This window comes from Homo sapiens, chromosome 4, assembly GCF_000001405.40.
Source record: "Homo sapiens chromosome 4, GRCh38.p14 Primary Assembly".
Classification (NCBI taxonomy): Eukaryota; Metazoa; Chordata; class Mammalia; order Primates; family Hominidae; genus Homo; species Homo sapiens.
The window spans coordinates 15,413,429-15,430,384 of record NC_000004.12 but is presented as its reverse complement, the minus strand read 5'-3'; the positions used below and the strand labels follow the sequence as shown (position 1 = coordinate 15,430,384).

Genomic DNA, 16,956 nt, shown 5'->3' with positions numbered 1-16,956 from the left:
TTGAACTCCTAAACTCAAGCGATCTGCCCACCTCGCCCTCCCAAAGTGCTGGGGTTTCAAGAGTGAGCTGCCACGCCCAACCTGGAAATACTGTTAATCTTGAACACGTCTGTCCTGGATGCTAATTATAAATAATCCTCCATCCTATTTTTCTGTAGGGATTACAAAGTAACAGGTTTTTGTTTTTAAAACACATTTAAAAAATTTAATTTGTGTTAGTTTAGATTCAAGAGGCTCCATGTTCATGTGCTTATATTTGAGGCAGAAATGTTGTATATAGTATTTTGTGAATTTATTTAGTCATGGAGCCCTTTGTTCTCGCTAAACTAGCCATGGAAAATACTTGGAGAAATACTGATTAACTCAGTACAAAGATTGAAATCCTGGAAAACATGTTCATAGATTGAGATCCCTTTGTAAATAGCATATTATTTTTTCCCCAGTGTAAGTAGACTCCAAGTATATTTTTTTCTTGGAAAAATAAAATATGTTGGTGGTGGGAATGTAAAATGGTGCAGCGCCTGTGGAAAACAGGATAGTGATTCCTCAAAAAAATTAAAGAGAATTACCATATGATATGGCAATTCCACTTTGGGGCATATATCCAAAAGAAGTAAAATCAGGGACTCAAACAAATATTTGCACATGCATGTTCGTAGCAGCAAGGACTCAAACAGATATTTGCATAGCCATATCTGCAGCGTTATTCACAATAGGCAAAAGGTGGAAGCAACCCAAGTGTCCATGGAAAGGTGAATGGATAAACAAAACCTGGTCTACACGTACAATGGAATCTTCTTCAGCCTTAAAAGGAAAGGAGATACTGACACATGCTACAACATGAGGAACCCTGAAGACAGTATATTATGTGAAATAAGCCAGTCACAAAAGGACAAATATTGTGTGATTCCTCTTACACAAAGTTCCTAGAGTAGTCACATTCATCAAGACTGAAAGTAGAATACTCACTGTTGGAGGAGGAAGGGAAGAGGGGAATGGGAATTTATGGTTTCATGGGTATAGAGAGTTTCAGTTTGGGAAGACGAAGAAGTCCTGGAGAGATGGTGATGATACTGCATAACAAAATGAATGTATTTAATGCTGCAGAACCGTACACATAAGAATGGTTGAAATGGTAAATTTTATGATATGTATATTTTACCATAATTAAAAAAACTGAATAAAAATGAATTGGAATGCAGGGAGAGCCCAGTATTCTTATTTCTGTGCCAGGTGTTTTAAGGACATCTTTTACTTTATCCTCACACCACTTGTTATGAAGTAAGTGCTATTACCTTCACTTTATAAGTAAGAACATTGATACTCTGTGGGCTCAAGTCCACACAGGCATGAAATGGTGCAGCCAGAATTTGTACTGAGTTCTTTTGTCTTCAAACACTTGAGTTTGTCCCTACATCATGTGAGGGAAACTATAACATATTACTTCATGACAAAGGGCTGGACTTGATAATTAATTCAAGTTGAAAATGTGCTTTGCCTGGAAATCATTAAGAAGAGAATAGGTAACCAGGAAAAGCCAAAACGGGACATTTTCTTGGCCTGCAGAGGTGGAGATTTCACAACAGCAAGCTCTGTGTTTCTCTTGTTGCACTGGGAGTGGCACTGTGATTGGGACAGGATGGAGACCTGAGCTGCTCATGCCTCAGTTCCTTTTATGTTGTTGTTCACCAGTTCTTTGCTTTTGGGGGCTCCAATTTTCCTCTGCAGAACTGCTTTTCCTGTTTGCCATGAATTAACCTCCTTCTCCTCCTGGCACTACTCAAGTCCCTGCAAGGCCACACAATTGCACTGTGTTATGGCTATCTATTGACTTGCTTGTTTCCCCACTAAAATGCAAACTCTAGGACAGAGACTAGTCTACAGTAGAGGCTCAATGAAGAAAAAAAAATTCATCAATATTTATTATTGTCAACAGTTCATTATTGATAAAGTTTTGACTACTTTATGGCACAGTGATTAAAAAAAACCCTGACATTTGCAAAACATTTTATATCCTAGAGAGCAATGCTAAGCCCATATCGTCCTCCCCAAAACCATCTTGTGGTAGGTTAGATGGGGAACCAAGGTCCTGAGAAGTCCCGCAACTTGTCTATGGTTAGAAAGCTAGTGTCAGTCCAGAGACTTGAAGCTAGGTCTTCAGTTTTATGGATTCTTCCTACAGAGCCATCTGTTTAATAAGCTAAAAAGCTCCCGTCACGAGAACAGGCCATTGCATCTACATTTGCCAAAATTCTAAAAAAAAGAGTAAACACCATACCTTGCTCTTAGATGGTGGGCTGCTGCAGGATTCTAAATCCACAAGAGACTGAGGATCTTTCATGAGAGCTCAGTGAAAAACTTGCTTTGGTACCAGACAGAATAACAGATCCAAATTCTCAAAGATTTCCAAATAGTTGTGCTAAAAATAATTTTCTCGTTTAGTCCCAAAGAGCCAAAGGCCCTGGAAGTCATTCATCGAGTGAGGCTCAACTCGGGGACCAGTTAAAATTACAGTTTTGTTTGGGATAAACTTTAAGTGCCTGCTTTCCTTCAGTGGTAAGTTTAGAGCTTCTCCATCTCTGTGTGTTGTGGCCTCTTTTTCAGATTTGTTTACTTAATTTTTTCCCTCTTCATTTGTTTTCCACTGAGTGAATGTTTCAGGAAAAAAATTACTCACTGACTGGAAATTAGTTGTTAACTTAGAGAAAAAAGCCATTTTATATTTGAGAGTTTTGGAGGTAGAGCCTTTAGATTCTGGACCTAGGATGGTGTCTTGTGGAATAATGAACACTGTCCCTATTCTTGGTAAATATGGCAGGAAAATAGCCCCTCATTCTATGTGCTGTGCAAAGAAAGAGGGTTATGAGAATTGCACTGATTTTGTTTTCTTTGTTCTTTGCTGAATGGATAAATGATTGGGTATTTTTAGAAAACTAATATGTCTTTGTGCCTGTAAAGAACTGATCATAACATCTCAAAAGGCAGAATGATTCTCCAAAGCATATGACTAGTCGTCTATGGTGCAATCAATTTCTTTGTTTCCTTCTGCTATGTATTTCTTATATTTCCTTGGCAACAGCAATATATAATTTATGATGTCATTTATGGAAATTAGACGACTGAAAAAAATCTTGTTTTTATCTTTCTTTTCCTCTCATTCTTCTCAAGCAATGAGAACTCTAATTGAAAGGAATGTTTCCAGAGTTAGTGAAGTGGATGTTGACCACACACTTGACCAACGAGATTGCTGGGCTCCCCGTTCTGACCAGCTTAATTTTGCCTTTGGGATCCACTCTCCACACTGGAGGAAATGGTCCTTTGAATTTGTTGGCTTTCCAAAATCTTAATGCCATCATAGGATGGTCAAAACAATGTCTTGAGCATAGAAGCTAGTCATAACTTATTGCTAAATTAGAGTCAGATTTTAATCAGATAAAGTCTCTGTGTCTGTTTTCTCACTTTCAAAATAAGATGGTTGTCCTTGATTATTTCCAGGGTTTCTCATAGTTCTTAATATTCTCGAACCAAATGATGGTGTCTGATGTCACCCATTTACAAGCTTAATTTCAGGTGATACAGCCTTTTAATATGTTCATTTATTTGTTTATAAGTGATAACTTCTTAAGTGGGCTTTTTCCATTATGTCTGCTTTGGAGTAGCCCAGTCTCTGCCAGGGAGCTCAGAAGTGGATGAATTTGTAGACCAATAAAAGAATAGATGCATTCTTATTTTTCTGCCTTAAAGTGTTGATACAATTTGTGGATATTCATATTTTCTTTTCTGTGTCATTCACAACTTCTCTAATTTCTCTTTAATGTTACTTACCACATAAAATAAGGTTTTTTGTATCATTAAAGTATTACAGTATTTTTTCTGTTCTTCAATAAAAATTGAATTTCTTCTTTTTCTTCTTTATTATTTTCATCCCAGATAATTTATTGTAATCTGTGTCTTTCTGAACTCATTCTTTTTCCCAGAGAGAATGAACCTTTGAAAATGTCTCTGAGAGTGTTCAGAACCTCAGATGTTGATAAAGCTTGTCAGTGTCTATTTCACTCAGTTATTTTCACACTTAGAAGCAGTGGTGAAGTGATGGGTAGAAAAATATGCTTAAGGAAGTATTGGCTCAGAGTAAAAGTCAGATTCCATTTTTACCTGCCACTCACCCCAAGGACGGGGTCTTATTTTGTCTTTCCTAGGCAGATAATCTTCCTTTCTCAACTTGTGCTCTTTTTTACCCCATATCCTTTATTTACTTTTCAACTGAATTCATTCCATTCCATTCCAATCCCATCAGTGTTCCCAGAGCACCTAACAGTTTGCCGCTAACCTAGCTCTCAAAAAGAAGGTTCAGATTTGTAGCTTTTGTTAGTTTTCTTGGAGTGAATACCCCCGCCATGGTCAATTTCAAGCTAACAATCTGACCTTCACTGAATGCAGAGTTGGAAAGTTATAGAATGTAGAATTGTAGAATTCGCACTTGCTGGCAGGTATAAGCCAGCTCTGCTCACCACTACACACATACATACACACACACTCACACACCATTTTTCTAGGTGGTAGAAGTATTTTAAAAAGAAGGTTCTAGCTGATATGTAATGAGCATGTACAACGTGCTAAGACATGACAAGCATCACTTTCTTTAATCCTCATCATAACCTCTTGAGGTGAGTAATTGTATTATCCTCCTTCTACAGATGAGTAATTTAGACAGTCTGATCCACAATTGACACACCTAACTACTTACCATATTTCCTCCCTAGGTTGTTGCTAACTTTAAAAGACCATGTTTTTGCATCCAAACAACTTGCAGTTGCATACCCTCTGTTTCTTCCTCCTCCTCTCCATGGGTGCCCTGGGTTCTGTTAGGAATTGAATCTTCTCTTTGTAACCTCAGTGCCTTGCTTATATCATCTCCAGTAGCTGCAAGCCATTACCAACCATGTCTCCCCTATGCCTCTTTCTCCATCTGTTCACATTTATCTTCTGTATGCATCACTTTCTACAGAAAGTCTCCCTGATATTCTCAAGCAGGCACAACCCTGTCTTCTCCTGAACCCTTCTAGCACGTAATTTGGATCTGCCATGCACTTTAGCTCACTGGCTCTTAACTAGATCTACTGAATGAGCATATCAGTAGATTAAGTTAGGCATTAATATTTTTTAAAAGCTCTATGGGTGATTCCAATGGGCAGCCAGGCTCTAGGAATCTTTGCCTTATCTACTCTTGCTCAAATGATGCCTTATCTGCTTGTCCTTACAAACCGGGGAGTTGTAGTGATACAAATCTGGTCTTCTTTGTGTCTCATCCTGTTCTTTTATTTATTACTTCATCACTTATTTATTTAGCTGCTACTATATGTCAGATGCTGAATGCTTGGTCTGGGTATTCAGTAGAGAGCAAACAAAGAGACCTTGTAGAGACAAAATCTAGTGAGGAAGAGAGATATTTATGAAATAATCACAGAACTGTGCTTAACAGGATATGAATTGGGAATTCCCATCCACTTGGAATTTCAGCTGAGAACACAAAGCAGAGAATGATAGGCAACCAATGCTCATACATCGACTTAGAACTTGTTAAAATCCAGCTGGATCTGACAGTGACCATCAGCCATTTTCAGTCCACATAAAAGAAAGCTAGAAATTCAGAAAAGATTAGTGGTTGAAGAGAGGCATCAAGGTAGAGTTGTGGAGAAGGGAGAGGAGTGCAGGGGCAGCTGTTAGAGAGGCAAGAATATATGCACTCCCCAAGAGGGAGATGGTACTGAGGAAGGCAGCTGAGTGGGGCCATCGTGATGGGACTTCCTGAGCCAAGGAGTCCTCCTAGTGGGGGGAGGCCACTAAGAAGTCACTGGGTGTATCACTGAGTACAGAATCTGAGGCTGGTGGGGGGAGCACTGCAAGCTATCAACCAAGGAACACCTTCACCCCGAAAGAGCCAGCATTTGGCTACCTGGAGTGCATAGCAGACATTGGAGCCAGGAGAGGATCATACAAGTAGCACTTACTAAGTAAGAATAATTCAGTCACTTTTTTCCTGATTATTCTACTCTCTGACCTGACTCAAGAGGAGCTGAAAGTGAAAGGAAGTGGCAGGAGATGGGGGAAGAGTGAAAGGGTACAGCATATCCTGAACTACAGCCATGGAGATGGACAAGTATTGTATTGGATATAAAATAGAAAATTTGATTGAGATTTGTCTTTTTAATATCTGAAAATGAGTCACAATTGACTAATAAAATTGTTCATGTAACTGGAAGTTACCAGAAAGCCAAGAAATTTGCCTGAGATGTCATAAAAGGGCAGGGAAGAAAGATCCAACAGAATTTGGCTAGAACAAATGATGGAAGAAAAATGAGGTTATTTTTTATTCATTTCATATTAAGGACAGTTAATACCATTTGATAAACTCAATAAGTTTTGGAGAATGCTTGAAGGAAAAAAATAAAGGATATTGTGGAGTGTTTAGCCGGACAACCCAGTTGAATCTTGCCTAAAGAACTTGCCTAAATAAGAGAGAACTTGCCTAAAGGAATGACATCTGACCTAAAAGGGGGGGAAACGGTAGGCATGAACCTGGCAGAAGGGCAGGAAAACACATCCAGGCTGAGAGAATGTCATATGCAAAGGCCCTGAGGTGGAAGAGGATGATGCTGAGTGGAGGCCAGTGGGAAAGAGCAAAGGCAGGCATAAGCCTGCAGGGAGGATGTGCCTGGGCCAGGCGGGGCTCTGTTGGCCACGGGAGGTTTTGGTCCTTATCCTGGGGTCAGTAGGTTCCTCAGAAGGGCTGTGAGTGGGATTTCATGAACCAGGCTGTTGACCAGGTAGAGGTGGTGCCTGCTGCCGCTTTCCTGGCTTTTCAAGCGGACTTCAACCAGCTGAAATGACTCAGTTTGGTTTCTAAACTGAATCTGCTTTCATTGCAGGGAAAGAGGTGGGTTCTTATGAGAAAAGGAGTTTGCATATTTAAAAAAGGCAATTCAGTGACTCATGGAATGAACAAATGTCATTGACCCCTGTGTGTGCCAGGCACTGTGCTGGGCCCTGAACATACAGCTTGAAAGCGAAGACAGGATCTCAACTCACAGTTCTTACACTGCACTGGGAATTTCACACTGTTAGAGAAGAAGGGATCTCAGAGGTTATCTGCTTGAGTTTCCTGTTTCACAGATAAAAAGCCAGATTCAGTAAGAAGTGACTTGCCCAAATAACCTATTTATGCTAAACCAGAACTGGAACTCAGGTCCCTGCAGGGTGGCCAAAAGAGTCTTTGCTCTACAGCCTTCACTGATACCTGGTTTCTACTTCACATGTAGAAGACAATCCAGTGTTTTAATCTACATAAATATCCATCCTTGTGGATAAATGTGAATTAACAATATAGCATTATCCCAGATCATAATACTTTACCTTGTCCAAAATATCACTTCTCATATTTTAAAACGTAAAAAACTTAAAAACTTATAGAAAGTTGGCCAGACGTGGTGGCTCATAACTGTAATTCCAGCATTTTGGGGGGCTATGGTGGGAAGATCGCTTGAGACCAGCCTGGGCAATATGGCAAAACCCCATCTCTACAAAAATAAATAAATACATAAAAAAGAAATAAAAAACCAGCCATTGCTGGAGTGCATGTATAGGCACATCTACTCAGAAGGCTGAGGTGGGAGGATGGCTTGAGCCCGAGATGTTGAAGCTGCAGTGAACCATGTTTGCACCACTGCACTCCAGCCTAGGTGACAAAGCAAGACCCTTTCTAAAAAAAAAAAATTATCGAAAGTTTTAAACATATTAAAAAACAGAGATCAAGTAGATAATGAATTTCCATGTACCCACTGAGCTATTTGGAAATTTAGCATTGAATGGACAGGAAATAATATTAGATGAAATAATGTTAGGTTAGGGTAGATATTAGATGAGAATGCATTTTCCCTGATCCTTTGGTCTTCAGGAGGAAGGATTTTCCAAGTAAGCTCTTTTCCTTCCTCACCTCTTGATTTATTCTGCCCTGGGGAAAATAGGATGAATTATCAGATAGGCAAATATGAAAAGAATAACTAGGCATGTTCAGGTCAATGAACTGGAGATAAAAAATCTGCCAAATCCCAAGGAATCTGGATTAAGAAGCTCCTTTGCTGTCATATCTGTGCAATATCCTTTTTTTTTTTTTTAAAAAAAAACAGGTTTATTAGATTATAATTATTAAAATGTAAAATTTACCCTTTTGGTATTAATAGTTTCGTGATTTTTGGCCAATGTATGCAATTGTATAACCACCACTAAAAAAGAGATACAGAGCATTTCCATTCCCTCCAAAATGTTCCCTTATGTCCCTTTGTAGTCAGTCTCCTCCACCCCAGCTGCCTGCAACCTCTGATCATATATCTGTCCTGTAATTTTGCCTTTTCCAGAGTGTCATATAAATAGAATCTTACAATATGTGGGTTTTTGAGGCTCTGTTCTTTCACTTAACATAATGTTTTTGAGAGTCATTCATGTTGCATGTTTCTTTCATTGCTGAATAGTATTCCATTGTACGGTTGTACCACAAATTTTAAATATCTATATCTATATATTTATTAACCATCTACTATGTGCTACCTACAGTGAGTCCTGACCACTTAGCGAAGTAGGTATTATTATCTCCTTATTACAGGTGTGGAAACTGAAGTTTCTAAATGAGAGAACTGGCCCAAGGTCACACAGCTACTGAGTGATAGATTTGGCATTCAAACCCAGATTTGTCTGACCTTCAAACCAAGCTCTCGGTTTAGGATGAGGAGAGTGATAGTACTTGGCTCCTTGGATTGTTGTAAAAATTAATTGAAATAATCCCCAGAAAATGAGTCCCTGTTGCCTGGCACTTCGTGGGTGCTCCGTAAATATGAAGTGGGTGAACAGTGCTGACATAGCTGCCGCTGCTCTTACCATTGACCTTTGGCTACTGTTCTTTGGTAAGTGCCATTGACTATCCTGGGTTCTCTATGCTCCTCTTGTTTGCACCTGAAAACCATCCGAAGGCCAGAGACCTGGAAGCAATGCCTCCACTCAATGATGCAAACCACTCCAGCCACAGAATGTTGAGAGTGTCTTTGTGACATTATGTAGGCATAAAAATAGTGGTGATTGTAACAATATTGTGCTAATACCTTACATTTATTATTTAGTAGAAAAAGCTCTTCAACTCTCTTTTTTTTTCAGTCATCTCGGTCTATTTGAACATTTTGGTGTTTCTAAACGTTTATCCGGATAATGGGGGGCCCATGTTCTCTACTTTGTTTATTGCTAAAAACATGTGAGGCATTTTGTGGGGAGGGTGCCTGAGGACATGAGCCAAGTTCAGGGTCAAGAGCTATATTAGACCCAACAAAGGCAAAGATTTAGCGGCAGGTGGTGCCTCTTGCATACATATTCACTTCCAGCCAAAACAATGTCCTCAGCAGACTCCATCACATTGGAGCGAGAGCTGGGAAATCCAACAATGACTCAGTGTGCTGGGGAGGAAAGCTGAGCACTGAGGTTTGGTAAAAAAAAAAAAAAAAAAAAAAAAAAAAAGACAAAGCAGTGGAATGTTACCCTAGAGTCTAAACTAGCAGAAATCTTCATGTCTTCTCCCTTCCCACTGACATTTCTTTGTGGAGTAAGACTGCTGACTTTGAAGGACAAAGTCATCATTGTCCAGCCATGTGACCTTGGGCAAATTGCCTTGGGCAAAAGACTCTGAGGATTACCCCTCTGAAACCTTAGTGTTCTCTTCTATAAATTGAAATTTTAAAAATATCCAAATGAAGTAAGGTTGTTATAAAGTTTGATGAAGTAATGCATCTTGTTGACTGACACATTTGTGCTACTCAAACTCAAAAAATGTTGATTTCTGTTGGTGCAGGGAGGAGCAGATTTAAGTTAGAGGCATTCCTTTTTCTTTCAATAGTGTTTAGAGTTTACGTTCTTGTTGGGACTAGGAAATGCATGTCTTTGGATGCACTTTAGATCTGTGTTTTCAGGATAATCTCATCTACGTGATCAGAAACACTCTCCTTAGGGACTGAACTCCTAAGCAATTTCTTGAAAACTGAAGGTTGACTGTAAGGTGTCTGAGAAAATAAGTGCCAGGATGGAATAAGTAGTTTTTTCATGGAGAGCTAATGGTTTCAGTGAAAGCCTGGCATTGAGAGAGAACAAGGCACCTTGGAGAGTGAGAAAGCTGGGGAGGCTGGAGAAGAGTGAGGAGGAAGAAGGATGGGGGGTGGAGCCCGTTGCGGAGGCTGTGGATATTGAGGCTAAAGCTTTCTTGGGGAACTTAGACTTTATCTTCAGGGCATTAAGAAGCCAGTGAAGAGTTTGCCAGTGATGAGAATCGTATGTGACTCCTATTAATAGATAGATTTCTTGGACTGCTATCTGGAGAAAGGATGGGAGGCAGCAAAAATGAAGCACACTTGGGCAAAGATAGGTAAGAAAACCACCCCACCACTGGCAAGGATTCTAATATAGTGGGATTCTAGAAGATTAGGCACAGATTTGGTTTGTTTGGTTTTTGTTTGGCCGTGTGTGTGTATGTTTGTGTGTGTGTGTGCATATATGTATGTGATTTCCTTCTAATATTTTTCCTATTCATAGTATATACACTTTTTGATCAAAATACATATGCTATTTTTTTAACCTCATATATTATCTATTCTTGTCCTATGGAACTATTTGTATTTTATTTTAAATATACGCTCACGAAATATCAGGAGGAAAAGGTAGGAAAACAAGAGTAAATCATTATTTATTTAGTTCTATTTCTCAGAACTATACCACTGTTACCACTTTAGTTTCTTTCTTTCTGTTATTTTTGTTCTCTCTGTGTATGCATAGGTCTTCTGTTCAAAGATTTGTAATAGTACCTATACACTGTTGCTGTGTGCTTTTTCTTTAACCTAATATTATATCATAAGTGTTTTTCCCCTGTTATGTTTTGGAGCCATTAATGGCCAAACGATATCCATCAAGTAGTTGTACAATAATTTATTTAACCCCCTTCTCTCCTATTAGGGGACAATTAAGCTGTTTCTATTTTTTCCTAGTATAAATGAGATTACATTGAAAGTTTTGTGCATAAGCCTTTATCCCTATTTAGGATTATTTCCTTAGGATAGATTCCCAGAAATGGAATTATTGGATCAAAAGGTCTGTATGTTTTATGTCTTTTTTGGTACATGCTGCCAAACTGCTTTCCAAAAGGTTGTGTGAATTTACACTGCCTTGTCCCTGTATAAAAACAAAATCCTGGGGAATGTAAGTTCCCCCACAGCCAGGCACCTTTTGTCCCTGGAACACAGACGGAGCCACAGAATCTCAGATTTGGAAGTAACTTTAAAGGTTAGTGAAGCTAACCTCTGCTGTGAAGAGAACGTCAAAGCTTGTTCCACAATGGTATTGGCATTTGTGCCATTTTTGTGTTGGGTGGCATCTCAGTGGTCATTTTGCATAAATGCCCCCAATTCCCTACACAGTCTCAGCCAGGGGCTCTGGGCAGACTCTGTGCTGAGGGCTCTGCATACACCAACTCAGTCTTTCTACAACCACAGGAGAAGGTTACTGTTATTATTCTTTGCATTCTTCAGATGGAAAAACAGGCAGAAGAGGTAAATAACTTGCCTGAGGCCATGTGGTCTTAGGACACTTAACTACTGTATTTTACTACCTCTTTTTAGTAAATACCTATATAACTAAAGAGAGATAAGCACTACAAAGGAGAAGAGGGGTTGGTGAAAGAGATTGAAAAGAGTGCCTACTGTGGTTTGGGAGATCAGCGAAAGTCACTCTAAGGATGAGATACCTGGGGATACCTGAGGATGACTTAGCCAGGTGAAGATGGGATAAAAGCCTCACAGGGAGGGAGAACAGTATGTGAGAGGGCCCTGGGGCAGGAGAGGACTTCGGGAATTATAGTAACTGAAAGGACAATGGGTTGGAACTTATAAGACAAAATGGCCTGTAAGAAAGGAGGTCAGAAAAATAGTAGGGGTCAAGTCATTTCAGGGCCTGAAGAGGTTGGCTTTTATCTTAACAGCAATGGGGTTCCATGAGAGGGTTAGAGGAGAACATGATCTTTGTTGTGCATAAAACGATGATGGAGAAGGTATTAGAGAGGGCTGGGGAGGGGAGGTGGGAGCAAGTTGGGAGGCTGATGCAGCTGAGTGGGCAAAGATGATCATGGCTGATCACTGTGGCTACAAAGGATAACGAGAGAAGTGGAGAGATTTTCAACAAACTTTTGTTTAAGAGCTGATGGGTAAGATGTAGCCTCTTACAGGAAGCCTTTTGGGCACTTGTCCATGCGGGCTCATCCTGACGAACCTTCTCTCTGGTCCCATGGTAATCCCCAGTGTTGGAGATGGGGCCTGGTAGGAGGTGTTTGGGTCATGGGGATGGATCCTTCATGAATGGCTTAATGTTGTCCTTGCAATAGTGACTGAGTTCTTGAGAGATCTGGTTGTTTAAAAGTATGTGGCACCTCTTCCCTTCTCTCTCCCACTTGATCCATGTGGCCCATTTCCTCCTTTGCTTCCCGAGGCTCTCACCAGAAGCAGATGCCAGCACCATGCTTTTTATACAGCTTGCAGAACTGTGAGCCAATTAAACCTCTTTTCTTTCTTTCTTTTTTTGAGATGGGGCCTTTCTTGATCATGGCTTACTGCAGCCTTCAACTCTTGGGCTAAAGCCATCCTCCTACCTCAGCCTCTCAAGTATCTGCAATCACAGGTGTGTGCCACCATATTTGTAGAGACAGGTTCTCACTATGCTGCTCAGACTGTTCTTGAACTCTTGGACTCAAGTGATCCTCTTGCCTTGGCCTTCCAAAGGCATGGAATTACAGGCATGAACCACTGTGCCTGGTCTCAACCTCTTTTCTGTATAAATTATGCAGCCTCAGGATCTCTTTATAGCAATGCAAGAATAGACTAACATAGTCACATGTTTCATGAGTCATTTTATATTAAATGTTCAGAATAGATAAATCCATAGACACAGAAAGCAGATTGATAGTTTTCAAGGGCTCAGGGGAGTGAGAAATGGGGAATAGCTGCTTAGTAGTATGGGGTTCTCTGCTGAAGTGATGAAAATGTTTTGGAACTTGATATAGTTGGTGGCTGCACAAGATTGTTAATGTTCTAAATGCTGCTGAATTGTACATTTTAAGGTGGTTCATTCTACATTATGAGAGTTTCATTTCAATAAAAAAATTTTAAAAGTATACATGGGAATGAAATGCACTAGTTTCAGGTCCTCATTTGTTAACTGAAGGACAGAGAAAGAATAAAAGGTGGGTATTTAGCTAAATTTATAATTTTTTAAATTTCTTTATAACATAAAAGATCTGGAGGAAAAGAAAAACTATCACTACTTGGGCTATCCCTGAAAAATCTTTTGTATAGGGAAATAAAGCTAAGACTAGAGAGAATGCAATAGACAAGCAAGAAGGTAGTGTTGGCTGTTGGCTGCACTTCAGCTGATTTTTCTTTCAACTGAAGCCTCTGACTTTTAACATAAGAGGAAGGACTTCAAGGTCATGAGACTCAATTTGCTGTGCTGCGGCCACAGTTCCTATGTTAGAATCAATGCAATAATGCAATGCTAACCTGAGATCTAACAAACTGCAGAAATTGGCTTCTTACAATTAGTCTGTCTTTCCTCAGATGGAAAAGGGGTTGTCTGAGACATCAGAGCACTTCAGGGTCAAGGACTGAGTCCCTACAATCAAGGCAGGGTCGAGTATCGTGGAGACAGCTGGTGCCTCTAGTGAGTGGTTGCCCAGGTTACAGGTAAGGGGAGCTAAGGAACCTACCCTACTGAGAGGCCCCTGTATCCTGCCTGGTCCAGGCACTGTGCACGTGTCAGCATGGTCAGCGTTCAGGATCACCTCTAAGTGGGGGTTGGTTTGCCTGCACTTTGTAGTGGAGGAAATGGAATCTCAAATGAGGAACATGCCTAAGGTAACAGAGGGAGTTGAACCGAGCTGGTATTCCAACCCTGTCTGCCCAGTGCCAGAGCCTATGTTCATGGTAGTGCCTCTAGTTCTAAAACAGAGCCTGGCATGTAGAAAGTGCTGGATATATATTTGTTCAATAAATTAATGAATAATAGCAAATGAAATAATTTCTAATGGCTTATTAGTTTGGTAAAGATGCAAAAAATTAAAACCAATTAAAGAGCAGGCACATTTATAGATTGTTCTTGCAAATATAAAGTGATATAAACTTTTAGGAGTGCAAAATTTATATGGCAAATATATACATAGAGTCTGAAAATCGTGCAAACCCTTTTTCCCCAACACTTTCACCCTTAGGATGTAATTTGAAGACAACAATTTTTAAAAAGTACTCAAAGCTCTATGTACAACACTGTTAATCACAGTGTAACATTTTTTGATGTTATAAATGATTTGTTCTATAATTAAAGATTAGTTAAATCAATGCACATCAACAAAAGGACTGTTTTGCAGTTCTTAAAAATCTGTGTACTAAAATAACATTTAATGACAAAGGCAAATATTTTTTATCATATTGCTTAAGGGAAAAAGGAGGCTACCAAATAGTGTCTCTGGTTTGTAACATTTATTCCAGTTTAAAAATAATACATACAGGCCAGTTGCTCAAGCCTGTGTTCCCAGCAATTTGGGAGGCCAGAGTGGGAGGATCGCTTGAGCTCAGGAGTTTGAGACCAGCCTGGGCAACATAGTGAGAACCCATCTCTAATATATATATATATATATGCATCAAATAAAAAAAAGAGAAGGCCCAATACCAAAATATTAATGTAGCCATATTGCTATACAGAGAGGTTATGGGTGATTTGTATTTTCTAATTTTATTTCTATTGTATTTTCCAACTATTTTTCAATGGGAAATAAGCATATTCCTTTGGTCTTAGAAACAAGTCAATAAATGCTACATAAAAACAAAACAAACTTGCTCTACTCATCTAACGAACAATATCTTGTGTGGATGAAAATAAATGTCCTTTTTCTTAAAGAAATAAATAATTGATAATGTAAAAGAGTGTCTTTGAATATTTCTCTTCATGTATTTTCTCTTCCTCCTCCTCCTCTTTTGTTTCTTATCTTTTTGGTTCCTCAATGTACAACTCTAGCTCCTTCTCTTCCTGGTGCCAACCTTAAACACCTGGTTAATGATCTGAATTCTCTCCTTCTGTGCTTTCTCATTGAGGAGTTTGAAAGCAAAGAGTCTTGGATTTTAGACATTTGGGAATGGCCAAGATTTTGGACTTGTTTTGTGAAAAGATGTATTTGTTCAGTTGAGCAAGTGTGAAGCAAATGCTTTCAGCATGTCTATTAATCTTAGCGGTCTGAGTGATGTAAGGGTATGCGCACTCATGTTTTATGATGTTTGGTTTCATAAAAATATGTTTGGTTTCAAGGCATTGGCCTCTATTCTCTGTTGACTAAGAACAAATTTGGAGTAAGGAAGGCATCTTGAATTTTATCCCAAACCTAGTTTGTTTTTTAATCATCAACTGGAACTCTATGATGGCTATGACTAACACATTTTGTGAGTTCATGAAAACATTTACTTTAATAGAAAAAAAAATAGAACAACTCTAGAATCAGAGTGACTGATGCTATGTTTTGCCAAAGGATTCTTGCTGGAAGGTTCTACTGAGAGTTTTGAGGGCTGTTTCTGCTTATCACACTGAGGAGAAATGGAGAGATTCTAAATTTAGGTCACAGATTCTAAATAGAAAAGGAAGCAAAACAAACGGATATTCTAGTCAGGTTGGGGAACTGAAGCCTGATTTATAACCACCGAGATGCAGGCAGAACTCTCTTTTTGTCACACCAGAGTTAATAATGTGTTGAATGGAAGAAAATGTGTTTGTACCCCCAAAGCCCTATTAGTGTGTTCTTTAGCTTTAATCAAGCTGCAGAACTATGAGATGTCATTGGGCAATGCTTAGGTTATAGTGTGTGTAAAAGTCCTGACAGAAAATGTGTGCATATGATTTTGTAAGGAGAAAAATAAAAAGAAAGAAACCCTCTACATTAAAAAAGACCAGAAAGAAATATCATGAAATGTTACTTGTTTTATGTTATGATCACAGATTTGTTTGTTGTTCTCTCCCTTTCTGTATTTTCTGAAATTCTTAATGATCATGAATTTTTAAAATAATAAATGGTTTATTTATTCATTCAGCACATAGCTTCCAATCATTAAGTTTGAGCTTCAAGGATGATTAAACTATTTATCTGCCCTGAAGAAGCATACAGAACTCTAGGAGAGACATAAATCGACACAAAGTGAATAGCTGCCATGAGTGAGGAACGCTTGAGGTCTAAGTGTGAATCAAAAAGATAGTGCCCATTATACCTGTGTGCAGAGTCAAAATTTAAAAACAATTAAATACACATTGTGATGACAATGTTCCATATACATGAAAGAAAAAATACTGTTTCTTTGACTCTAGGTTGCTCTCTCCAGTTACATTTGTGTTTGAGAGGATTGGAACTAAAAACTGAGATGACCCTCTTTGTAGGGGCTGAGTAAGGATCACGCGGTATTGTGGTTGTCAACTTGAGAAATGCAATCAGTCAGTCTCTCTGAATCCTTGTCTCCATCCACAGAGGCTGTAACTTTGCTGATGCATTTTTGAATGCTATTGTATTTGCTGTTACCTTGCTTCTGTGGCTCATGTGTTTTAGAAAGTTAATCTTCCTTTTTAATTTTAACTACAACTGAAGCATATTCCTTTTAGCAAAAAGTACAGCAGTAAAGAGCTCAACAAATTGGTTAGAAATCAGTTTTTAAAGAGGGAATACGAGCTCTAGATTGGGTCTCACAGGGTTTTCCAAAGAGATTGTGCATTAACTTGGACTCATTGCTGTTTATTTTGGCTGTTAAGAAATCTTTTTGGAGAGTTTGCCAATTTTTAGCATCTCATCCATGTTGC

The 16,956-nt window shown here is 39.0% G+C and overlaps 1 protein-coding gene and 1 long non-coding RNA gene across 7 annotated transcripts in view; one reads left to right on the top strand and one right to left on the bottom strand.

Moving 5' to 3' along the window:
• C1QTNF7 (C1q and TNF related 7) overlaps nt 1-16,956 on the bottom strand; it is a 106,382-nt gene that overhangs the window by 15,783 nt on the left and 73,643 nt on the right. Inside the window, exons 1-2 of one of the 6 annotated variants that reach the window (XM_011513773.2) lie at nt 2,279-2,352; nt 970-1,073 (exon numbers count right to left, since the gene is read on the bottom strand). The exons of 4 other annotated variants lie outside the window; for them this stretch is intronic. The gene's annotated coding sequence lies outside the window, so the exon portion shown is untranslated. Of the gene's footprint in view, nt 1-969; nt 1,074-2,278; nt 2,353-16,956 lie in introns of those variants that run through there. One more of the 6 variants, NM_031911.5, reaches the window with a different exon arrangement.
• The window catches only part of C1QTNF7-AS1 (C1QTNF7 antisense RNA 1), a 422,973-nt gene continuing 408,487 nt past the window's right edge, over nt 2,471-16,956 (top strand). The window contains exon 1 of the long non-coding RNA NR_125911.1: nt 2,471-2,556. This is a non-coding gene — a long non-coding RNA (C1QTNF7 antisense RNA 1). The remainder of the gene's footprint in view (nt 2,557-16,956) is intronic.